This window comes from Homo sapiens, chromosome 2 (assembly GCF_000001405.40).
Source record: "Homo sapiens chromosome 2, GRCh38.p14 Primary Assembly".
NCBI lineage: Eukaryota > Metazoa > Chordata > Mammalia > Primates > Hominidae > Homo > Homo sapiens.
The window spans coordinates 180,975,534-181,002,084 of record NC_000002.12 but is presented as its reverse complement, the minus strand read 5'-3'; the positions used below and the strand labels follow the sequence as shown (position 1 = coordinate 181,002,084).

General features: G+C 37.3%; 1 protein-coding gene and 1 long non-coding RNA gene across 7 annotated transcripts in view, besides 2 other annotated features; one reads left to right on the top strand and one right to left on the bottom strand.

Annotated features, from left to right (window-relative positions):
• Nucleotides 1–21,725, bottom strand: part of UBE2E3 (ubiquitin conjugating enzyme E2 E3) — an 83,066-nt gene extending 61,341 nt beyond the window's left edge. Inside the window, exons 1-4 of one of the 6 annotated variants that reach the window (NM_182678.3) lie at nt 21,539–21,725; nt 21,112–21,143; nt 19,849–20,067; nt 17,992–18,042 (exon numbers count right to left, since the gene is read on the bottom strand). In NM_182678.3, the coding sequence (NP_872619.1) occupies nt 17,992–18,042; nt 19,849–20,042 (245 nt within the window). In that variant the 5' untranslated portion in view covers nt 20,043–20,067; nt 21,112–21,143; nt 21,539–21,725. Of the gene's footprint in view, nt 1–14,690; nt 14,748–17,991; nt 18,043–19,848; nt 20,068–20,607; nt 21,028–21,111; nt 21,481–21,538 lie in introns of those variants that run through there. The other 5 variants (XM_017003167.3, NM_001278555.2, NM_006357.4 and 2 more) reach the window with 5 other exon arrangements.
• Nucleotides 15,762–15,841: an enhancer, noted in NCBI's record as "active region_16822". NCBI's record gives its function as "activates an Ori minimal core promoter by ATAC-STARR-seq in GM12878 lymphoblastoid cells {active_cell/tissue: GM12878}" and the evidence as "EXISTENCE:reporter gene assay evidence [ECO:0000049][PMID:35858748]".
• UBE2E3-DT (UBE2E3 divergent transcript) lies at nt 21,073–24,755 on the top strand. Its single transcript, NR_187176.1, has 2 exons — nt 21,073–22,019; nt 22,419–24,755. It is a non-coding gene; the product is annotated as a UBE2E3 divergent transcript (long non-coding RNA).
• Nucleotides 21,203–22,062: a silencer, noted in NCBI's record as "silent region_12155". NCBI's record gives its function as "represses an Ori minimal core promoter by ATAC-STARR-seq in GM12878 lymphoblastoid cells {active_cell/tissue: GM12878}" and the evidence as "EXISTENCE:reporter gene assay evidence [ECO:0000049][PMID:35858748]".
• Nucleotides 24,756–26,551: the final 1,796 nt, after the last annotated feature.

The window sequence follows — 26,551 nt, the reverse complement described above, 5'->3', positions numbered from 1 at the left end:
ATTTCTAGCTAATGCCAACTAGGCTTCTATGATACTGTACTGTCTGCTGCTTGGGATATTCAAGCCCTTCAATCTCCATATGCAACAGCTGGAAAACTACAACTTCTTTGTAAACTTCCATTATTAAAGCAAAGACATGTACAAACACATTTCTTTTCGTCAACAAATACTTAATAGTAAAGACAGTCTTGCCATTTTAGATGATTAAAAAATAATAAAAATTTAAAATCCCCTCATCCATACTTGAAAACAGTATATTAACAGATATGAAAGGTGAACTGCATCCAGCTTGTTCTCTTTCTCTCCGCCCTCCCCAATTTGTTACCCAAGTCTCTATAACCACCACAACTGGTTATATGCTAATCTGTCACCTTCGAAATCCCAGCTCCTCTTTTCAATACCCTGTAAAGATTTCCTATGGCCTTTACATGTAAGAATCCTTACCTTCAGTTTTGACAGGGCTCTTAGGCCATTTCAGGCTCCTAATCTCCTTTATTTTTTTCTTCACTTTTCTGCCTATTCCTTCTCTTATGCTTAAGCAAACCTACTTATCTGGTGCTGTATCAATCCATCCCTTCTCCAAATTGTCTCTTTTGTTGTATTTCCACTTCTTGATGTCCCACCCTCTACATTCACAGTTGGGGGTGTGGGGGGTGGAGGACTTCTGGGACTCAAGGCAAAACATAATTGTATGTTTCTTTTCCCCAGCCATTTAAGAAGCTCGAAAATTCTACTTTCGAAATCCAAGCTCTCAACTTTCTGGAGGCTACTCTGTATTTCTCTCCCACCTCTCTTTCCTGATTAAGTGACATATTTTACCTCATTTCATTTCCTCACTCTAATTTACATTAAATGTAGTAACTCATGTTTCTAAAACACTAGAGCTTTAAAGGAACTCTGGAGTACAGAAAACCAAAAATTCTTAAGCATTCTTCTGAAGTAGTGGTTCAAAACTTTCAACAGGTTTCTGAAAGAGTCCAAGTAATGCAAATTGTCCCAAGTTGTTTCCAATTTTTGCCTCTTTAAGAGTCAGTGTGTCATATTCTCCATCTCATCACAGTAAATCTTAATATCTTCATTACTGATATGAGTTGATGATGCACAACATACATTATTTGTAATGTTGATGCAAATATTTTAAACACACATCAAATGCTAATGTGCTTAAAATTTTGTTCCTTTTCAAAGCACAAGAATTCTTACTTTACGTAACAGTTTCAATCAATGCCTTTACGATTTTGCTTATGAATTTAAAAAGTTACTCTCACTTTGGAAGCCCGAGGTGGTCGGATCACACGATCAGGAGATCGAGACCATCCTGGCTAACACGGTGAAACCCCATCTCTACTAAAAATACAAAAAATTAGTCAGGTGTGGTGGTGGGCGCCTGTAGTCCCAGCTACTCAGGAGGCTGAGGCAGGAGAATGGCGTGAACCCGGGAGACAGAGCTTGCAGTGAGCTGAGATCAAGCCACTGCACTGCAGCCTGGGCGACAGAGCGAGACTCTGTCTCAAAAAAAAAAAAAAAAGGTTATTCTTTAAGGTCTAATCCTGGCCACCACACTATACAACTCAGGGGATACCATTTATACTATACTTACTCTGTGCTGTGCTATGCTGAATACAGAGTACAGTATGAATGGTACCCCCTGGAGTTGTACAGTGTTAACATTTTAGATTCAACCAGTAATATATATGCCTATTTGCAAAGTTTTCCAATAGCTTAACCCTTTACAAAATGTAAGATTTTCATCCATCTTATGTTTAGATTATAGAAGTTGTGATTAACAGTTTTTTAAATCACTATTCATGTATCCCAATGTCACTTAATAATCTTAACCCCATGTTGTAGAAAGCTACTTTAATAGATTTTTTAAAGAGGTGTTTGTTTTATAATACAGTGAGTCTTATTCTGAACACCTAGTGAACAAAACTTTAAAACTATAAATATGTATGTATCTAATACATCTAGAAATTGGGTTAAATGCCAAGAACAAAAATTGCAAAAGGCAGCTGGAAACACAAAACAATCACCAAACTGTATTAATATTCTTTATTCTGTATCACTGATCATTGCTATTTGTGGGCCAGAACCACTTTCAAAAGTATATCTTGTTATTACAACTGGTTTTAATACTTCATTTTTCAAAATGTTCTTTCATAAACATGCCTGTTTATTTGTCCATATAACTGCTTTTTATATCATTATATGTAAAATATACCAGTTACATAATATCTAAAACACTTAAGAATGATGAAACAGGTATTATTCACATTTCTGAGAATCAGAGGAGATAACTTGCTCAAGCTTTTACAGTTACTCAATTGTAAAGCCAAGACTTGAACTTCCATTTGTCTAAGTCCAAAGCCCTTTATCTGAGTCATGTGGATGTCCTTGATGTACAACAAGGTCTGTTTTATATTTTGGTTTTCTTTTTTTTTGGGAGGGGTGGAGGGCGGGAGGGTGCCTATAATGAAAAAAAACAAAAAATAAGTATGGCAAGGATGTGGACAAATTGGAACCCTCATACGCCGCTGGGAAAGTAAAATGGTACAGCTTTTGTGAAAAGCAGTTCAATGTTTCCTCACAAAGACAGAGAAATTATCATATGACACAGCAATTCCACTCCTAGGAATATACAGTGAAGAAATAAAACCACGTATTCAAACAGATGTGTATTTGTGAATCCTTCACAGCAACACTATTCACAGTACCCAAAAGGTGGAAACAACCAAAAGGCTCACAACTGGTGAGGAGATAAACTATACCAAATGCTTTTTTTGGTATTGTGGTATTTCTTGAAATGTTCAGTTTTTCTTCTTTAGCCTACTGTGGAACGTCAGAGTACTAGGAACTGCCATTCTTTGCGGTCATGTAATACCCTTTGTGGAGGGGTATTATTCTCTTATCATAATAAATAAATTCGACCTTTTATAATTTTCATATTCTTGTTCATCAGTGAGATTAGATAACTGTCATTTAGCAGTACTGGTGTTATGTTTAGGGATTCATACTACATTTGCCTCAAAACAAGTTTGAGGTAGCTTCCCATCTTTTCTTATGCTCTAGAATAAAAGACACATGGGACATTTATACCACTTACACATTTAAAACATCTTATCTGCATATCTATAGAGAAAAGTAATTTAATAAACATTAAAAAGTATAAATTGAAAAAAGTTATTTTACAAACAACCTAGTTAATTATGGTTTTCAAATGAATCATCTGTTGATTATCTGAAGGAACTGCCGTTGACGATTTTTTTGTTTTACTCCTTTTTGGATAAAAACGTATCTGTTGCTTTGAGCTCCTCCAAAGTTGCATCTTATTACGTTCTGATTTACTTCTACTTTCAGCTGTTTGCACCACAATTTGATGCTTTCTCATTAAGTCTTTAACTATAGACATGCTCACGCACAGGGCCTTAATATTCTTGTATAGACTTCCCCCGCCCCCACATTATTACCAATGGTGATTTTGCATGATGACATAGGTAAATTATAGGGGGTGCTTAGATTAAGAAATGACTAGCAACTAAAATCAAGTAGGAAACATGATCTTAATTGTTCTTCCATAGCATCACAGAGGATAAATGAATTTCATCATCTCCCCCTGCCCCTTCCCCACTCTCCTTATCCCAACTAAGACCATTAGCCTCAGTACCAGAAACAGAGTACTGCTTCTCACACTACTACCTGAATCCTTAGACATGCCTTCTTAAAATGCACATTTAGTAGGCCACCCTTGGCCTACTAAATCAGAATCTCTGCTTTGGGTAATTGTTGATTATACAATCTCCTGATTCACCAAGTCCAACCAGAACACCACCAATTTATAGCATGAGGGTAAAGTGAACCTAAAATTTATCATACAAACTCGAGTATTTCTAAAAGTGAAAGGAAATGCTATTAATATTTTTGTCAAGACAATAGATGTAAACCAAGGAGTACGGTCAAGCACAGTTGCTGTTGTGCTCTACACTTTGAGTCTGGCAAGTTTCAGAACTACTTTCAACTAAGTTAATTAAAATTATTCTCATAGTTAGTGCTACGGCATTTTACCGAGATGAAAATATAAAGAAATATAAGAGCTATACCCAGTCCTAGTGCCCGGTTCAGCTGGGATGAAAGGGTACATGACAAGAGGCAATACCAGTGAATTAAATATTAGTAGTACAAATGTCTCTCAAAAGAGATATGTGCAGGAAGGGCTTCACAAAAAGATGTAACATCTGAAATAGGCTTTAAAAGATCACTACCACTTGAAGGATGAAAGCCATCCTAGGCAACGAGAGATGTAAACAAAGATGCAGAATCTAGAAAACCCAACTTTTACTCAGGTAATAGGAAACAATACTTTTGCTACAACATAAGACTTTTCTACATAATGGAAGAAAAAATAAAGATAAGATAAAAATAAAGATAAATTAAGAGAGCTAAATGCAGGTACTTTTGATAGACAACCACTAGGATTCTAAGGGAAATCCATCACCAAAAAGCAGCTGTGATACAATGTGGCATGAGAGCCTAGGGGAGATGAGAAGGGATAAACAACACAAGGGTGAAAAAAGAATATATATCACATACATGAAGAAATACTAAATACTAAGGAGAGTGGGAGAAAGAAGACACATTTCAAGTACATCAGGAAAGAAGATGAAACTGAAGAGAACATGCGCATACAAAACAAAAAAGAAACAGAATAAGTCATATGAAAAAATACTAACAGCTAGTATTACCAAATGACCTTTCTAAAATAAAATGAAAGAGGAAAAGCCAGATAACAAAAATATGAAAGAAATATAAGACACAAAAGTGGACAGAAAAAAAATAAATAGAGATAGATAAATGGGAAGCTGGATAGTGGATAATAAGTAGAAAAAGATGAAAGAATTAAATGAGCTTAAAAAAATCTCTTAGAAAAGGAAAGAGGTTAAATAATTGAAGAGAGATTAGAAGGGTAAAAAAAAAAAGTGTAGTTTGAGGCAATGGGGTAACAGAAATCCTTTTAAGAACACAAGTTTCCCTGTAAGTGGAAAAAAAAAAATTCATTAATAATAAAAAGATCAAAGGGATACACAGAGTCACATATTTATAAGAGCCATGTGTGCATACGTACACATTAAGCTCATGCACAAAGTTCAAATGTACTATGAGGGTTCAGAATTGCGGGGAGGTGTAAAAACTAAAGGGCTAGAGGAAGAAATTTTTTTTTGCATATCAGACAATTACATATGCAGTAAAAATCACACAAATGTATCTTGGTCAACATACATTTTATGTAAGAAACACAACTATTACAAATTATTATATATTACTCAAAGTAATGCTATATAAAATTGGTTTCTTACAGCATTATGATTTGCTATCACTACAATGTGGAATCTAGGCCAGTAATTTGCAAGTGCCAAGTGACAGCCCCTCCCCTCCAAGATACCTGGAAATGGGGGGGAAGAGGCAGGTTTTGGTGGCCAGAACATAGCATTTAGTCAGCAGAGTCTGAGGATGTTCAATGTCTTCCAAGTCAAAGCACAATCCAGTCAAAAATAACCAAGATGCCCCTGATGAGAAACACTAAACAAAGGAGGATGCTTCTTGTATATTAACAACAGGGTTAATATTTAAGTTCAATTATTGTGACAAATTAATTTGATTCTGATAAAGGTTTGCGTTCTACCTTAAACTACCCCCTCAGTTTAATTCAAAACTTAAAGCAGACCTATAGTTATAATAAAGATCTCTCAGTTCTCCTAATGCCAAGACTTAATTATCTCTGACAACTGACAAGGAAGTGGCTAGGAGAATGTCATGTTTGAAACAACAGCTTCAATAAGTATTCAGTTTTCAAAATAATACCTAGAGCAATGGTTAAGTTGAATGTATGTACTCGCATTGTTATACACCAAATAGGTCCATATGACTTTTACCCTCTAAGGTTTCCTAGAGCAAAGCAATTTAAGCTGAAGTTTTTTTTAAATTAAGAAATTCTATAAAGATGATAACAGCAATATACTGAAGTACTACAATGGGTTGAAATACAATTATGAAGTGACAATCATTCTGAAAAGGATACTAGGACACCAACTCATTATTTTGAAAAAGAAGAAAAAACTGGTAAGACAAAAAAATTAAGCACATATCTTACCTTTACCATGTATGACCAGGTAACCAAATAGGAGATGAGAATAAGTTTCTGTTTAGAGCTGTATTCCAATGGCTGCTAACATCACAGAAAAACAACCAGATCTTAGGTGCCTTTTGATAGAAAAGCACACCAGGAGTTTTGTTTCGTTAAAACAAAACAAACAAACAAAAAGTGGTAGCTGTCAGAAAAAAAAAAAAAAATCCAGCCTGAATTTGATCAAGCCTCTTGATCTAACTCCCAAACATACAAGAAACACTAAGGATGAAGAAAGATATTAAACTATACCACAGAAATCCAATAAGCAAAACAGACTCTAAGGAAACTCAGCCCAGTTTCTTCAATAAATAAATTGCAAAAATGAAGACAACACTGAGAACCTTATAGATTAGAAAAAAAGGAAAAAACCTGAGTATAACTTCTGATGCCCCCAAAAACTTAATAGCCTATTCTTGACCTGAAGCCTTACCAATAACAGAAACGTTTTGTATGTTACATGTATTACATACTGTATTCTTATAGTAAAATAAGCAAAGGAAAATCATAAGGGAGATAAAATACATTTACAGTACTATACTGTATTTATCAATATTGTAAGCTTGTCTGAAATGGCAGGCACCTACAGCTGCAGATCTCAACCTACAGTACATGTCAAGCAATTACAACTTTTTCTTGTAAAGTCATGACTTTTCTCTGCTTCTTGGGAGCATTTCCAGCATCACTAGTGCCACTAACACCATGGGTCCCATGGTGTTATTTACAGTATTGCACGAAACACAGTAAAATACACACGAGAACCAGGAGAAATCACTTTTTACCGCAATACACAATTTACTGGAGTGATGAACTGTTTATACAGAAATGATTAGCATCACATAGTGTTTTAAGAAGATACTTGCAACACTAGAGCCCACTGCAACAGCAACAGGAGGTGGCTACAAAATTACTGCAGTAATACAGTATGTTATAGTTAATTTTATGCAGTTACGATTTAATATTTACATTAACGATTCTCTTGACTCCAAATGGCACCATGTGTGGTCTGTAAATGACTGTGTAAGTTTTGATAAATTCTAACTTTTTATAATAGGTTTGTGTGTATCTCATAGCAGTAAATGATAAAACAGACTAGTATCCACATATATTTTGTGGATTCTTAATATTTTCCTAATATTTTCACTATTTCTAGGCTACACCATTCACCTGCAAGTTTCTTTCAAATTGTAAATCTCTAAATATTTTTCCAATACATTTATTGAAAAAAGTCGTGTATAAATGAACCCACTCGTTCAAATCCATGCTGTTCAAAGGTCAACTGGACTTTATTTGTATCCTCACTCAAATAACTGTGGGGAAGGAAGGACAACACCCATTTGTAAACCTAAACAATGACTGATTACGGAGCTACTGAAAATTTTTAGGCATGCTGATGTCACAATGGTTAAAAGGAGTCTTATCTTTTGAAAGTGCATAGTGAAATACTTGCATGTTTTAAGATATAGATGAAATGATGTCTGAGATTTTTTTAATGTAATAATGGGAGGGTGAAATGGACGGAGGCATAGATGAAGCCAGATTAGCCATGATTAGGTAACTACTGAAACTGGATAAAGGTTATATATATGGGGGTTCATCATACCAGCCTGTTTACTTTTGCATATGTTTCAAGTTCTCCAAAATTAAGAAACCTCGGCAGAAGGGAAAAGTGATAATTGCAACGTGCTTATTTTAGGGTTTTCAAAAGAAGAAAATGAGTATTTGGCATCTTCTAATGGAAATGTGGATAGTAAGCACCTGGGAAGATGAGAAAAATGTCTTTTAAAATTTTACAAGGACACTGGTGTAAACATAAAATGAAGAAAAATTAAAGGCACACTAGTTAAAACTGCCATTGAATTCCATATAAATTACATGTCTCTGAGTTTGCGTTCAAAGCCTTCAAATGCCAGGTTTCTTCTCATTGTGATACCAGGTAAATTTAGTACAAGCATATATATCACAAATCTAACAAATAACACCAATACCCTAAGAAACAAGTATGAGGCAAGAATAAATCATAAAGCCAATGCCTTATGGTACCCTCTATATTTTGCTGTTGCTACTGTTTAAATTAAGAAGACTACAGAAAGCAATAGGAAGCCATAAAAAATATGTAGCCACAATCTTCTGAGATCGATTCTCTTCGGGACCCTGAATAAATGGATTCTTGACCTACTAGAATTTAATGTGAGAAAATGATCCATTTGTAAAGGACCTATAAGACTGTAAATGGCAAAACTAACTACAAATAACCATCCTCAGAAAGGGAATAAACAGTGTTTATAAAAAGTGAGACGCATGGATGTAAAGGGGGATCATGATGATGATTTATAAGTGAAGGAAAATAAAATAAAAAGGTAACAAAATTCATGTTTCCCTAGGCCTTTCATTCAGACCAAAAGATGTGGAACTATACTCCCAAAAGCAATTTTGGACTAGAGATGTCTTTATTTTTCCCCAGACAAGCTGGAAGTTAAACAGAATGACAGAGTATATTTGCTCTGGAACACTAAAGCAGCAAAAAAACTTTGGAATGGCATAACTAGTCCAAAAGCTTCCAAAAAAGGCAGACTACACCACAGTTCCTTTCAAAGCTTCATTTGTTGTGAATAACCATAAAGTTAAAACAAGTATTATATACATCAAGGACCAAAAAGAAGGAACTGGGATTTTTACAAATTGAATGACCCTAAGCTGATCCTCACTATTGGTATTACTTTATCACCACCTACCGACGGGCACATCCAAAACAGATGTGATAAACAAGCTTTTGTTATTTCTCTATACACCCTTATAAAACTGATAGAATGTCAACAGAGATAAAAATCCCAAGGCTTTACAATTTAACTTTACTACTGCATTTAGACAAGATGCAAGGCACATATTTGATTCATAAAACTCATTAATGTCATCAATTTAAAATGAAATATATAAATGTGGTAGGTTGCCCTGAGAACATTAGTTCTGTTTTGTAAAGTGGAGCAGCCACTCTTCCAAAGAGACTCACTGGAAAAAGCAAATCCCAGCCTGATCAACATGGTGAAACCCTGTCTCTACTAAAAAAAAAATACAAAATTAGTTGAGTGTGGTGGCACATGCCTACAGTCCCAGCTACTCGGGAGGCTGAGGCAGGAGAATTGCTTGAACCCGGGAGGCAGAGGTTGCGGTGAGCTGACATTGCGCCATTTCACTCTAGCCTGGGTAACAGAGTGAGACTCTGTCTCCAAAAAGAAAAAAAAAGTTAGTCAGGCATGGTGGGGTGCGCCTGTAGTCCCAGCTACTCGGAAGGCTGAGGTGGGAGGATTGCTTGAGGCATATGTTCCAAATGTCAGAGCTACAAGATACACAGATATAAGTCAACACAGAGAAGAGCTGCCCAAGATAGTCCCTGGACCCACAGTGGTCTTCACATGAGTGAGAAATAAATCTTTATACATTGAGCCACTGAGCCTTCTAGGTTTGTTTGTAATCACAACACAACCAGAAAAATTTAACATCTCCTTTTATAGTCTAATTGCACTTAAATAATGCAAGGCAAAATACATCCAAAGTATTAAGTATTACTTAATACTTGTGTTTAAGAATTAAAGATTATCTTCCTTTCTGTGTAATACTGTGTATCTAGAATGAATGGAATGATTAAAAGAGTATTTGAAAGCAAAGTGGAAAAACAACCCAGTAAACAAAGAACAACTTAAAAACGAGTAGACACTGATAGTTTCACCTTAAGAGAAAAGAACTCTTAAGCATACAAGTTACAAGACAAAAAACCCAACAAACCAAAAACAACAACTGAGAAACCAAAATCAGCTATTAGGAAACAGGTAAAAAAGAAAGCAAAGCAAATGAAAATACCCTTTCATCATGAGTAGTAAGTAATTTCAGTCATGGTCACGTAACAGAAGTAGCAGAGCAGTCCCTACCTATCTGTGCAGTTCCACTTTCCACAGTTCCAGCTACTCTAGGTCAACCACAGTCCAAAAATATTAAATGGAAAAATTCCAGAAATAATTCTTAAGTTTTAAATCGTACCTCATTCTAAGTAGCACGATGAAATCTCACATTGCCCTGCTCCATCCACTTGGGCTTGAATCATACTTTTGTCCAGTTTATCCATACTGTATATGCTCTAGTCCAGGAGTGTCCAATCTTTTGGTTTCCCTGGGCCACAGCAGCAGCAGCAGAACTCTCTTGGGCCACACATAAAATACACTAACACTAACAATAGCTGATGAGCTAAAAAAACAAACAAACAAAATCGCAAAAAAAATCTCATGTTTTAAGAAAGTTTATGAGTTTGTGTTGTGCCACAATCAAAGACATCCTGGCCACCAGGTGGCCCAAGGGCCGCAGGTAGAACAAGCTTGCTCTAGTCACTTGGTAGTGGTCTTGGCTATCAGACTCCACTATCAAAATCGGTTATAGACTACTGCAGTGCTTATTTTCAAACAACCCTCATTTTACTTAACAATGGCTCCAAAGCCCAAGAGTAGTGATGCTGGCAGTTTGGATATGCCAATGGGAAGTTGTTAATCTCTTGCTGTGCCTAATTTGTAACCCTTATGTAAACGTATCATAGGTATGTATGTATAGGAAAAAACACAGTATATAATCAATACTATCTCAACTTTCAGGCATCCACTAGGGAGTCTTGAAATGTATTCCCCACAGATAAGGGGGAACTATTATAGAGGGCCATAACTGCTTATCTACAATTCTAGAATCCCAAAACTCTGAAAAAAAAGAAAAAAAAATCAAAGGTTTTTTAATAAGGTTGTTACAAAATAATTTGGTAGCAACCCTAAATGTGAACTGACTTGAAACTATTTGTAGCTTCCACTTATTCCACCTGTATGAATATTAATACATTTTTGGTGTGGAAACAGTAATGTCGAGAAACATTACTGTGGAACAGATTACATAAAGTACCACAAACACATCATACTACCTTTCTAAAACATGAAACTTTCTGCATTCTGAAACACATCTGGCCCCAAGGGTTTCAAATAAAGGATTGTGAACTTGTAAAAATTGAAGTAACTTGTGTATTGTCATAATGATGAAAATAAAACCCAAATGAAGAGCACACATTTCTAACCTGTGTGTAATTCAATGTCAAACTGAATTTTGATGACTGTCCAATGTTATTTCTCCATGATGTTACTTTAGTACTCCTAGTAGAACATAATAGATATAACCAGCCTAAAGCTAGATCACGCAGGGATATAATTAACTGGCACAAGACCTAAAAGAAATAAAATACTGCTGTAAGCATTTCTGGCCTCAGAAGACCATAATTTAGCAAGTACTCAAGGTAGTCATTCCTGTGGTTTCACATAAAAAATAACACACACGTATGACAAATAATATAAGACATATGTAAACTACGCATAGAAGTAGCAGGAAGTGAAGAATCAGCTGAGGAAGGTGTAGGTGAATATATTAAGGATGCATCACTAATAAGACAGGAAAACAGTCAAAAGCAAACTATTCAAAAATTCAAGAGGCAAAGTACAGGAACAAATATCTATAGGAGGGTCTCTCAACTTCAGCACTAGACATTTTGGCCCAGATAATTCTTTATTGTGGGGGTCTGTCCTATGTATTACAGGGTATTCAGCAGTACCACTGACGTCTACCTACTAATGTCAGTGGTAGCCCCCTTCTCCTTCAGTTATGAAAAGCAAAAAATATCTCTGGGCATTACCAATTGTCGCCTAGCCTGGTGGCTGGGGAAGGGGAGGACAAAAATTGCCTCAGTTGAGAACCACTGATCAAAAGGCAAAAGAAAGGTTAAAAGTTTGAAGATGTTTCAGCTTCCAGATTCCAATTAAAATGCCCAAATATACTTACCTGTCAAAATTGGTATGTGGAAAAAAAAATCACTTTCTATTTCTCTAGATTTACAAGTGATTTTATTATGTTTTTATCTCATATTGATAGGGAAGAAGAGACTGAAAGGACAAGTTCTTCATTCTCAATCTGAATGTCCTTACACTCTATGCAAGACTTGCTGATTTTCCTGAAAAGTAAACATATCCATCTGTTGTTACAGCAACTCATTTAAGGAGAGCATAAAGTACTAATTGGTTATGAGAGGAATATGACTGGTTATGTGAGCATGTAGCTGCGAAGTAAACATATAACTTTTTTTAAAAGCACATGCTGTTTTACCCACCTTCTAATTACATTATCTGCATTGAACTTAATAGATCCTTAATAAAAATGTGAAGTTTAGTGGGAAGAATATTATTTTCAGTTGGTCACTCTTTTGGAAAATGTTTCCAGTCACACAGAGTACTGAGTATTTCTGCTACACTGGCACGTATGGAGGAAATAACTAGGCCTACTGTGAGTATCAATTTCCTCTTATAAGCAAAAACAGTAGCTAGGTAAACTTTGAATAGGTTATTAAATATTAAGTATCATAATTATGAAAAAGGTAAAGAATGTATAGGATATTTAATAAATTTTCTCTGAAGTCATTGTTTTGCCTGGAATTGCTATTTCTATGTCAATTTGAGAGACTTCAATTTATTTATTAACAGACCTTCACATGCAAAGCACCATGTGAAGTAAGGAAAAGATACAAAAATGAATGAGACAATCTCTCCATTCAAGGAACACTCGCTCTTGCAGAAAGCAGACAAATATTATAATACAGCATGAAAAAAGTACTTTATTACAGTTGTGTTGAAGAAACTATTAGCTTGTTGAAAAATAAAACGTCAATTTGCTTTGATCATAAACCATTTAAAATTATCACTAACGCCCAAGTCCCCAGAAAAACCCTCATGATTTTTGAGGTTTATGCTGATGCCAAAATGAATTTATTAACAATAAAACTAATAATACAAACTATCTGTAGATGACCACCCACGGCATAATGGGATGAAAAATACTTTGTCAGAGTAGTTCTGTATTTATCTGTTTTACAGTCGAGCTTCCAATTAAGATTTAATTTTTATAAAAAGCGGGTTCCAGGACCTTTTTTTTTGAAGAATTGAAAATAAAAGGACTAGATAACTAATGAGATACAATCTTGTAGCAAACACTAAAACAAAAACAATCAAATGTATTAAGTAAAGAAGAAAAAGCAGTCTATCTACATGTGTGAGAGAGTTTAAAACCAAGTACTCTATAAGCAACCAACAAAGCTAATATAGGGATCACATGTTATTTCAATTATTACCTGCTTTCATACGCCAATTAGAAAAAAGCTTTCAAAATTTCTCCTTAGTTCACAGACATGGAAAGAATGCTATGGGGTTAGGTAATGCAGGTAACAGCAATCCAGAATGTGAATTTTACAACTGCTGATATAATCCCATTCACAGTAAAATCACAAATTCTTCTATTTTAAAAGGGGAAAATATAATCATTACTCATCTAAAAATTGTTTATTATACTTTACTGGACAATCATAATATTCTCTATTGAATTAAATATCATTAATCTTATGCATGTTCCTTTAAAAGGAATACAATATTTGTTCATCTATGCCTGAAGTTTTTAGGCTAATTTTCTTTTTTACGCAAGTTCCTAGGAACTGCTTTTACTGACATTAAAAAACAAATTGCTTGTTATGTACTTGTACTCAATTATCTGGTGAACTGACTAAGATAAAATTACATAAGATGTCAATGCACTAGAGAAAATGCCAGCAACAGTGAGAGCACATCACTACAGGCTACACTGTCTCTCCCATTTTTATCTTGCTGTGGCCACTTTACTGACTCGATTTACACTGCTACAAAACTTAAACACATTAAGTCATTTAATCCTCACAATAACCCTATTATAAAGGGGGGTATCATTTTAATCCCCACTTTACAACTGAGGAGAAGAACCGAAATATTCCAAAATGTATCTAAGGTAATAACATAGCAAGTTAGTGACAGAGCATGGATCTGAAACCAGACAGTCTTGCTCCAGTACCAGCACTTTTCAAACCTACTTATATATACAATTCACCAGGAATCTTGTTAAATTCAAATTCTGGGTTGGGGGTTGGGGGAAGCAAGAGTCTGCATTTCTAACAACCTCATCTGTGACGCAGATGCTGACAGTCAGCAGCTCACTCTTTTAAGTAGCAAAGTTCTAGTCCGCCCTAGAAAATGATGGAAAGTGGTAGCAACCCTCAGAAGAAAGCAGAATTTATCCTCAGACAATTAGGCTAATGAGGAATCTAGAGATTATCAACTACTGGTTTAGAAACAACTGCTTCTTTTATGATTTCATTATTTTTTTATTTTTAAAGAAGAAAGTCAACGAAATCACCTGATCTCAGGTTTTGCTAGTCAATATATTAATACTATTAACTTGAAACTGTAATACATATCCCCCAATATGGCCTTTCCCACATCAAGAAACTATTTATTAATACAAATACCCCCAAATATCTCCAGTATAGATTCAATCTGAACATACACTCTTAAAATATTCGTCAGTATATTTGTGCTTCTTCCTATATGGAAAGAAATTAGGGGTTAAGTTAGAAATCCAGTACCTTTCTAAACTTTCGCTGTTTGCACAAGTGGTGACTAGGAGAGGACAAGGACACCCTCTGGGAAACAGATGGAAAGTAAATGTCTTAATAACACATCACTAAACAATTCTAGTCAACAATTCTCAATAAATACAAATAGGGAAATGCCCATAACACAATTTCCCTTGACTCTCATTGATGTATAAATTATTTATACTTTATGTAAACAGCATAAACTGAAACCAATAAATAAACATATCCCTATGTTTAGTACACTATGGCCCATGGCCCTCCAATACCTAAAACCATTTAAAATAACATCAAATCACTGGAAATAACGTCATTATCAAACTTTTACACTATCGGGAAAAGAAATATCAATGCTATCAAAATATATTAAAACATGTATAAAGCCATACACAATTCAATTAAATCTATCTTAAGATCACCCTGGGTATGTATGTACTAGACATAACTATATACTAATTAAAGAATATTTCATTAATTAAAACACAGGAAGGGATTTTAGAGAAATCATCCCAGTCTGAATAATTTTGGTTTTGCTGAGTTTTCTTGTGTTTCATTCAACTTTTTCCTGAATGTACACAGATATACTTTACATTTCTTCCCTGAGGAAGAATTAAATCTGTCATGTACTTTGACAAGCTTGTAAAAATCATATTCAAAACTGTAATGGAATTCTGATTAAATAACTACACACGAAAGCCAAATGTATTAGGTTTCATAGATCTCAGGCAATATGAATTCACATATTCTAGAATTTATGAATATAGATTCCATTTTTAATTATAGCATAAATTAATAAATTTAAACTGTACAATCACCGTAAAGCTAAAATTCTCATTTACGCACTTGTCAATTAAAAGAACATAACACCACAGTCTGTCACAGATCTGACATGAAGGCAAAAATACAATACAAATTCAGGCTTTTTATTTGTCAAAGTTCTAAAACACCTTTACTAAACACTCAGTATTCCAATTCCTACTCAAGGACAAAAACTAGGTCTTCTTCCACCCACAAGAATTTGAAGACAAAGTATCTGGATATTTTACATGTGAGGCATATGGTAAAACACTGCCTCCAAATAATAAGAAACCACTTATCCTGGTTCCCTACTAAGACATACTGTATGTCTGTTTTTCACATACCACAGCCACACATAAACTCATCTATTAAAAGAACCTGAGAACTGAAAGATGTCATTTGCAGCAGTTGATAGTCATCACAGGTTGTGACAAGGGAAAGCAGGGATGAGGTGTTCCATGTTACTGTTCACAGAAAGCCCAAAGTTTTGATGTTTCACTAGTCTGATCACTAAATGAGGAAGCATTATTTCAAGGACTTAAATGAAATCTGGTATATAAAGAGAAAGACAAGTGAAACCTCCTATCTCATTGAAAGATTCTACTCCCTCTAAAATAATCCTCAGTGACCTTGAGGAAACATTCCGGAGTTAAACATGTAAAGTAGATTTCTTTGGCAACTGCAACACTAGGCTATTGCTCTGAGGGCACTTAATACATGTCTACTAGGCTCTCTAGATTTATGCACGTACATTAGTTTGTTTCATTTGCAGACAATCAACAGAAACCTTTAAAAATGTTTGACCCTACATGCAATTTTAAAACATTTAAGAGTTCTGAATTGATAGATCTTTACATTTTTCATAATGGGAAATATCAGAATACACTCTGCAAGTTAAGTGATTCTTCCAGGGAGCAAATTTAACTTGACCTCCCTAAATGGCTACAGATTTGACACACCATTTAGAAGGCTGGAGGGAAAATACTTTCATTTACTTGTTCTCTAAAGCGGCACTGTTCAATAGAAATACAATGCAAGTCACATACGTAATTTTAAATATTCTAATAACATATTAACATAGTAAAAAAGTGAAATTAATTTTAACATTTTATATAGCCAAATATATCCAAAATATTATTTTAATATTAATGAACTTTTTTTAAGTCAATGCAGTATTATACATCCTTTTGTTGTACTAAGTTTTTAAAATCCAATGTGTATAAATTTTACCCTTATAGCACATCTCATTTTGGACTAGCCACAACTGAAGAGGCCAATAGCCACATGTGGCAAGTGGCTACATTACCGGACAGCATAGCTCTTAAGTAATACTTTGAGATCTCACATACCACCATCTCCTTAAAATTAGTTTACATTCATGTTTCCTGTTTGAACTGAAATTACAAATACAAGCAAACTGTTCATTCATCGGATAAATCAGGATCAAATCACCTTATCTGAGGATCCAGTTAACATACACAATAAGAAGCAACTGGATTATACCCTATTATATCACAAGCAGACTTCAGAGACAGGGTCTGATCATCCCAAGTGAATACAACTTGTAGCAAAAATACAGGTTAAACATGAAAACATTGTCCTATCAAACCATAAAACTGCCTAATTCCTTGCAGCCACTCGCATTATTGAGCACATATCTCTTCACAAACTATCTACAATATTGTTTTCTATGCGTGTTCAATTTTGTAAGCCATAGTCATTAAAAAAAGAATAGAGCGCTATACAAATGAAATGAAAAAAATTATTAGAGAAAAAATAATCAACCAGCTACTTTTAATGTATCTTATACCAACCAATAATCTTAAATTCATCTACCTGAGTTCCACTAAAATGAATTCCCACAATTCCAATTCATTTACTGCTTTTCATACACATATTCCAACCACCAAAATTACTAAAAATGTTCCCAAGCAATTAGGACATTTGCTTAAAACGTAAATAATTCCAACAATGCATTCTGTAGAAAACGACCACTAAAACCATTAGCTTAGCCCATAAAATTTGTCCTTAAGGCTAGTAACTGAATAAATCAAACAGAACCAACTATATGCTTATTTACTGCATTTACATTTTGTAACACCACATTCAGCAATTTCTAAATGTGGAAGGTCAGTTCAGATTGCACACACAAGCAGTAACTTTAAAGCTTAGCAAAATTTTAGAAGTTTCTTCAGTATACTTCTGAAAAAACACCCTCTACAGAAATACATCAGAACAAAAATCAGCACCATTCATATGAATATCAGAAGCACAAAATCAGTATATTCATAAATCCACAATGTATACTTATGCTAAAAAGTATTTTTTCTCCCAATTTTATCTAGTTCACCTTCTACAATTTTTGTTTAATGCACTTGCAAAGCTGTAAAGAAGCAAATGTTGTCTCCTCTGCTGCACACATATCCAGACAATACATCAATCTCTTGGTATTTTTCCACAATTTGAAACCAAAACAACAAAATTCATTTCTTACCTGCAATTAGGAGGAGGATCAAGGGTTATTTCAGCTAGCTCCTTCTGAATTCTGTTAGTGAAATGAGAAGAGACAAAAAGGATTTGATATAGTCTACAGAATAACCAGGGAATTACACTGCCCTCTACCACCATGCAGTTAAATGCAAGGCTGGCTCTGCCTTCAGTAATGCTAACATGGCTGCTTCCTCTTTGTTCTCAGAGGCATAACCCAAATCCCTTAACAGAAACTTTGCAGCTTTTTTTCTCACTTGCTGCTGCAAACAAGTAAGTCATTTACACTTGATTGGAGAAATACTCATCCACTAGTACTCAGTAAAGAATATAATATCTATTTCAAAACACTTTTTACCAAAGAAATTCTCTTTTCAAGCTTATATGCAAATGAGACAAAAAGGGAGGAGGGAAAGCACTGGAATATTTGACAAGGACTTGAAGTGACTTTTACTGAGGTAAAAATTAACAGGCTACTGCAAGAGCACATTAACAGTTCTGACAATATTTTATCTGTCAAAAAAAAAGTTTAAAATTTACAAATATCTTTACTTGTGAAAAACTTTCAAAGACTACTTGACATTCTAATTTAACCATTTCTGTTTTCCCTGATTTTAGGTACAGCACTTAAATTTAATAAACATTGAGAGAAAGAGGAGAAAATACATAGGCCTGAGTTAAGGGGGAGAAAAGCAGTTCTCTGATTTGATTCAAATTTAAGATGATTTCAAAACTTTAGATGTGTCTAATATGTTCCGCATCAACACTATACCAAATTGAGAATTTTAAATTATGTCAAAGACTGCTGCCATTCAAAAATATTATCAAGTTATTAATACTTCATTACTGAGACAATAAGGGTGAAAATCCATAGAAAAATATGAGTATTTATGAATCACCACAGAATGCAATATTTGATCAGTTTTTATATTCTTTTTCCTTTAGTTATCAATAAAAATTAACAAAATGTCAAAATTGGTTAATGCTGTAAACATTATACATTTTATGTATAATTACTAGAGTTTGTGGATATTCCACTACTACTACCACTGATAAGAGTCTCATTGACAGAATCTTTTTTTCTCCATCAGAAAACATCAATCAATAGGAAACAAATGATCTTTCACTTACATCCAATTAAATATGTTTCTCCTGCTGTTGAGTATTAACTTGTCAAGCACATCCACAAGTTTCAGAGTGAAGAGGCCCAAGGACAATGCAAGTTTTCTATCACTAGTGACACCTCAAATTGTAAAGGGCTACTTTTCAGTTTGATTTGCCCTCACAAGCACAGGAAGGGATAATCATAATTTAACCAGGAAAGTTACCTGTGATATACGATTGAAAGTCATGTTTTGTAAAACTGTAAGCAGATTTGCAGCACAATTTTAAATCTGCTTTCAAATATAGCAAAGGCCTGAATTTGCAAATTTTCTAGCAAATATGATCATTTCTGATCATTAAGTTTCATGAAGAGAGGCACTGCTAATCTCTGGAAGTGTCAATTTCATTAAAGAAGATTATGACTCATAAAAGGAACATCCCCAAAGTACCATCTAATTTGGGTTCACCAAATTTTCCTTGCCAACTCCTTAAACAATCTGTCAGAATGTTAGTCTAATCTCTACTCAAGGACACTCTTAACTGAAGTTACCGAAGTACAGAATTAAGTTTGCTTAAAAGTATAATTCTAGTAATGTTGCTTACATACCACCTAAAGAATGACAACTCATTCAAGTACAATTAAACTGATAATGAAGTAAATATTTCTGAACTACTGCTATTGAGGTAAAACCAACAAAAGCGTCCAACCACCTGGAAGACAACCTGACAAAGTGTGCTGGATCCTTCTTTTACACATTACCTTTTAGCACTAGTGGATAACTTAGCAGTGGTTTTGCTAGAGAGTTTGGTGTTTTTCTTCTGCTGGGTGGCAGAAGGTTTTCTTTCCTCTTGTTCTTCAGGCTCTGGAGCGGCTGGGTCTCGCTGGTCCGCATCTGAACTGCCACTGCTGGTGCTGGGGCTCTCATCATCGGACCTTTGCCTATCACTGGACATCTTGGTGAAGTTATCTCTTGGAAAACTTTTAAAGAGAACAGGGGAGGAGGAGGAGAAAATGTTAAATCTAGGAAATAAACCAACAGCATTTTCTTCTAGTCATCTAAAATCGTCTTGTAATGAAAAAGCTTCAAAAGTGTTCACACTTATTTCATCGTACAACAGGGGTACGTACAAGGGAGGTGATGTGTCACACAACGCCAGCGTTAAGGGATTTGCCGAACTCAAGTTAGAAAACCCACTCACATTTTTTTCCGTCTCTTGGACAATCTATCAATTGTCTACTTTCTCAGAAGGCATGAAACAGATTTGCCAAGGAACTTAGGCAACAAGCATTAATAACATATGACACACTGTAAATAACAGATCTCGCTGAAAAATGTTTAAAAGTCACTAATAACGTCTAAATATTTACACACTGACATTGGTCAAAGCTACCAAATTCCCTTTCCGAGAGGAAAACACACCCTGTTAATCGCCCATATGCTTATTTAAGGTGGCGATTCCTCCTCAGTGCACGTAAAGCCTTTAAACACAACACTTGGAAATTTAAAAATCAACTAACGAGCTGCTCTAGCTGTTTCCACGGCCAGCAGCGAAGATTCATCCGGCCAAGACCGAGCTGCCACCCTGGGAAAAGCAGAATTCAAACTGCACCTTCTGCAAAGCTCCCAATGCCACCAAGGTTCCTCGCTCAATTTTTATATCACGGACCGACATTTTGTCCAAAATAACGAAAAAAATAAGAAACCCAGAGAAAAAACAAACAAATAAACAAAGCCCCAAGAAGTGCAACAAATTTCCGCGCCCGCGGAGGCGAGCCACGGCCGGCGGCGGCGGCCACGCAGCTCCGCGGCCCTTTGTGGGGAGGGCCGCGCGGGGGCCGCGGGTAGCGCTCGCCGCGCCGGGCGCCAAGTGATGCGAGCAGCCCAGCCGGCCCCGCCGCGGCTCGCGGACACCGGCGACGCGGGCGCCCGGCGCGAACAAAGCTGCCCGCCCCCGCCCCCTCCCCCACCGCCGCCGCCGCCCCGGCCGCCCCCCACGCGGCCCCCCGGCCCCGCCGCCTTACCTCGGCCGCCCGCCCGGCCCGCTCGCGCGCCGCTACGGTGTGGGGGAGGGAGAGAGAAAAAAACCCTTCCTTAAGGAAATGGAGGCAGCTGTGGGGGGGGGAAGGGGGGGGAGGGAAAAAAAGAAGCCGAGGAGGCTCTGGCCGGGGAGTGTGGAACATTGAAAGTCGGAGGGGGTTGTGCAGTGCCGGGCTCCGGCCGGAGGGTGGCGCCGCCCAGCGCCTTCGGAAAAAAGCGGGGGTGGGAGCTCGGCTGGGCGAGGGCGCGAGCTCCCGGCGAGGCGGAGGGGACGCGGGAGACCCCCGCGCGCTGTAGCCTCCCGCCGCCGCCGCCCGGCTCGGCTCCTCCCGGCCGCGCAGTCAGCAAGTTCCGAGGCGAGCGCGGGGGGGAGGGGCGGGCGCGGCGGCGACGCGCGTGCTCGCTGCTTGCCTGGCGGAGGGGCGCGCGCCGCCGACGCCCGGCGGGCGCGAGCTGTTCCCGCGCGCTCCCGTGCGCGCTCTCCACACCTCCCCTCACCCTGGGGGTGCACGCGTCCGCCCGCGCGCGGCCAGGACAAAGAGCGCGGCGGGGACCCGGCGGGCTGGCCCCTGCCGCCCTTGGCCGCGGAGCCTGTGCCAGAGAAGGCGGGGGCGCGGGCACCGTATCGCGGGGCCGCTGTGCCGCGGGGTGGCTTCCGGCCTGGGCCCGCCTCCGGGGCGAGGCTGCCCATTGGGCTACCCGCGTCCCCAGGGCTGGTTCCATCCCATCCGCCTGCGCGGGGGCCGTCGTGGCTCCCGGGGCCCCAGTACCTGGGCAAGGGCCCTGGGCGCGTGGTTGGGAGTCCCCCGCCGCCCCGGGAGACGGGAGACTAATGGGTGTTGTTGACGAGGCCAGGCACGCAGGCGGAGAAGAGCTGCCACTTGCCCCTCGCGTAAGCTGGAGGAAGGGACAAGTTGGGGTCCTGGGAATTGAAGAGGGTAGAATGTATTTGGAGATTAGGGGAACAACCTCTATTTCTTTTTGGCTCATAGCTTGCAACTGTCGCTGCCAAAGGGAAGTGTCCTTCGGATTATTTGAAACCTTAAAAATCCAAAACAGTGTTTAAAATGTCCCGCTCAACATTCTTAAAAGTGAAGGAGAAGAGTTTGGGGTTGGGGGGTGGCGATGAGAGCTAAAACATGACACTTTTCTGCGGGACTCTTCTGTCTTGCACATGAGGAGCCAGTTCTGGAAAGAAAAGTTCTGAGTGATGTTGAGTCAGAATGTCCACCCAGAAAAGCTTTAGGTGGAGATAGTGACAGTTTTGTTTGTTCTACCATTCTTTTTGCAGTCTCCAGGTGGACTCTGCGGTTTTTACCCCACGGCACAAAGTAGCCAGAATACAAAAACTTCCTGTTTGCCACCCAGGCCTTCTCCAGCTACTGAGAACTTGTTCCGGTGATGGAGCCTCAAAGGAATTTGTGGATTCCTCTCCCACAAGTGTCCAGGGGCAGGGGTGCTGTGAGAATGTGCAGTTCACAAAGGGAGTGAGAATGGCAGTCAAAAGATGTATAGAGTTAAGGGAAAGAAGAAAAGACTGAGTGAGCCAACGTATTTGCTTACTATTTCTCCTAATAGAAAACTTTTGGTAAAGGCTTGATAGCAACTCTAAAGAGTAAGTTACATTTCCATAATTTTCCAAAGACACAGTCATTCAGTTAACTTTATTGAGGGCTATATGTTGCTAGGTGCTGGACATACACTCATTCAATTGCTGTGTGACTAAAGCCAGGTCTCTACTCTGTGCTAAGAGCTCCTAGTCCAGAAGGGGAACAGTTCATTAAAGTTCGCTAGGTTCATAAGTAGTAAGGATATTCCACTCAGAATGAACAGATAGAATATCTCATGCCTCAAAAAAGATCATGGTCTGTGTGTGGACAAGCATTTTGATTTGGCTGGGTCAAAGAGTGCTTGTGGGAAAAGCTTGTTAGTGAAAATAAAAGCAGAATTTTCCCCCAGCTTTACACGATGTGATGTTACAGCAAAAGCCAGCCAATTTGGAGTTGAAGCTTTGCTTTGTTTGGAATGGGGAGACAGAAAAGGAAAGCTGTACGTTAAACATGGGTTCTTTTAGGAAATTTAAGAACAGAAATAGCCTGAAGGCCCAAAGGCCAATTGCTGATAGGATTTAGTGGGGTAAGGAGCTTAGGGGAGAAAGATATTTAGTTGTTTGGTAACATCTTCTACAGAAGAAATAGTATTGGGTTGAAAAGCCAGGGAAGTGTATTCTAATCCTCATTCTACGAAGTTCATATGACCTCAGGCAAGTTAAGTTATTTCAATTACTTTTATGTAAAAGGAGATTGTATCAAAGGTTCTAAGTCCTCTCCTGCTCAAAAATTCCATGATTCCGTGATTCTTTGGCGAACTTGAAGTCATGGAGTTTAACTTAACATTCACCCAACAGAATATTTAGGATCTACTAACTGCTTGGGAAACTGGAGTGAAACATGGGTCATGCTCTTAACCAAGCTCAATTGTGCAGTGGGGCAGCCAGAAACGTAGCCTGCAGAATGAGAAGTGCTGTATTAAAGAAGTAAAGAGAATGAGAAAAGAGCATTACTAATCATCAATTAACTAATAATGGAACTATTAATTCAGGTTGGAATTGTGGGGCATGAGGTAAAGGTCAAAGAAGGAAACATTAGATTGGTCCTGGAGAGAGCACTAGGGCCAGTGATAATGTAGATAATATAGATAATGCTCTTGGCAAAATACCTGGAATTTGGGTGTTCAACAAATAATACCTATTGTTAAAGTCACCGTAAAGATAATGAATGGCTCCATAAGGTTAGGGGCAGTAGTGCCCTGCCCCTACAATGTGAGGTGCCTGGCTGCCTTCATTCAGCTGACTCAAGGGGTTGCTCAAATGATTTCAGCTCACAGCTCCTCTCCCAGGTGACTTGGCATCACCTCCACCAGAAGTAACTTGTAAGGTGTAAATTGTTTCTAATGTTTAGTTCTTCCTTGTGTGACAACCTGTTTTGTAATTATTTTTTCTCTCTTGTTTTTGCTATGTCAATCCTTGAAATTAAGGATCATGTTTCACAGGCACTCTTGGAAGCATACAAATTTGACCTAATGCAATTATTTCATAAAATATAAAAAGGGCCCTTTTCCCATAAGGTCCCTCAGAATAGTTCCACAAGCAGACACCAGCTACCACAAAGAAGATTGTTTCCTCTCAGTCTCTTTTATTTTCTCTTGTTGGTGTGGGGTCCTGCCAGCCTCTCACAACCCTGAGAAGGGCAGTGGTAAGAGGGAAGATGCCGAATCCAATTGCAGTATTACAATGATTATCTCTTATCCCCTTATCCACCAAATGTTGTGACAAAAAGAGGCCTGCCTAAGGGCAAATAAGGCAGACCCCAGAATCCTTTGCACCTCCCTAGTTTGGGAGATGCTTTTTCCTGCGCCTTTCAATGAGTCTCAGTGTTATCTGTGTACATAACTGTGAGTATGTATAACTAAGAATTTCACAGGATCTATCACTGAGTTACCTAAGAAGTTTCTGAATTGAATGATTATGTAAGCTGGGGTATAGACCTCTACTTATCCACCATGACCAGCAGCATCCCTCACATGTAAAAAATGTAGAATAAATATGAATTTATTTTGTTGATTTTAAGGTACTTTGTTTCCTTCCAGTCAATAACTTTTCTAAGAGTCCCTTCATTTTTACTGGCTGTTTCTGATGCTTTCCAGTTACTTGTATCCTCAGTTCTCTGGCTAAGAAATTTTCTTTCTCTACCCATAAAGACTGGATTGGTTTACTAGGAAGGTATTTCTTGGCTCAGCCTTAGTTTACACAGCCTTGTTTGTCATTGTTAGTCCCAGTGTCTTTGGACCCCCAGAATCCAATGTGCCGCTTGACATCTGGGTGCACTTCCACTGCATCCTGAGGGGAAAACCTGCTGTGTCCTACACCAAGGGCTGGGCCCTGGAGTTGGAAAGGTGCATAAGCCTTGGTTTGACGTCAGATAACTCAGTGATTATTTTCTGTATTTCTCTTTTGAGATAACTCTCAGGGAAGGTATATACCAAAAAAGGCTCATGTCATGGTAAGGAGCCTGTACACATGAAACAAAACCGTGAGCACCTTAGTATGTCAAAAGGCAAAAATTTTTAAAGAAATATTTAACATTATAACAAAAATGTAGTCTTGCTAGTTATCCAGAAAGGAAAGTTGAAATGAAATATCTATCAAAATAACAAAAACAATTTTTAGTTATTATAATAATTCCTGGCAAATTGTTTTTTAAAAAATCCCTTTGTCCATTTCTAGTAGGAATGAAAATTGGTACATGTTTCGAAAAGGAATTTGGAAATTTTTTTCAGGAGCCTTAAATGTGGCCATACCCTTTGACCAGATTTCTCCATTTCAAAAGAAATGTACTTCAAGGAAACATTCTAAAAGTGAGAAAAATGATACTGAAAAACTGGAAATGTCCAACAATATGCAAATGATTACACATACTGATTCACCCACATAATTAAATTTGCCATTATTAAAATAACAGTTGTGAAAAGCAAGCTAAAATACAAAAACAGATTATTATAAAATACACTTAAGGTAGAAGTTTGTCTATTTTAGTTACTGGGAAATCAGAGCCTGCCTCAATACCTCTCAAGGTACCGAGCACAAAGTAAATCATCTATAAATATTTGTTGAATGAATATGCATCATATTTTTACAATAAGCAAAACAAAAATGTCTGAAAACAAAAGGTTGACCAGTACCTAGATTTTAGAGTGACTATGAATATGAACAACTTTATTTTCTTTTTACTATATTCAGTGTTTTTCTAGTTTAATGAGCAGGTACTACTTTTATGAGGGGAAAAAAGATGTGAATAAATGCAGGGGTGTAGATTTGGCAAAAATAAATGCTGTTTTGTTTTAACAGTTTTTTAAAATAAGTTCTTACATAAATTAAAAGAAATGATGAAAGTTCAAGCAAACTGTTTTAGAATTTGTCAGGACTTTAAATTTGATGTAAGAAAAAATAGGGAAACCAATTTTAAATACTGAAAAAAGTCACGTGAAGAGACTACACATTAAATAAAACAATAAGCTCTGGCTCAAGGACAGATAGATCACTGAAAAAAAGTAACCAAGAATTAGATCATTTAATTATGTAACAGATGAGATTTTACCTAAAACATACAGAAAAGAAGTATTATGCAATAAATGACTGAGATAACTAGTTACCAATATGGAAAAGGTCACTTAAAATCATGCCTTATTTCGTACATCAACATAATTACAAGTGAATTCAAGAGTTAACATTTTTAAAAGTCACTACTTAAGAAAATTAGAATAATTTGAGTACATGATGCAGAGATAGAGAGTTAGGATATACTATGCTAAAAAGCAACAACAACACAAAAAATTACAGGAAACAACGCATTTGACCAGATACAA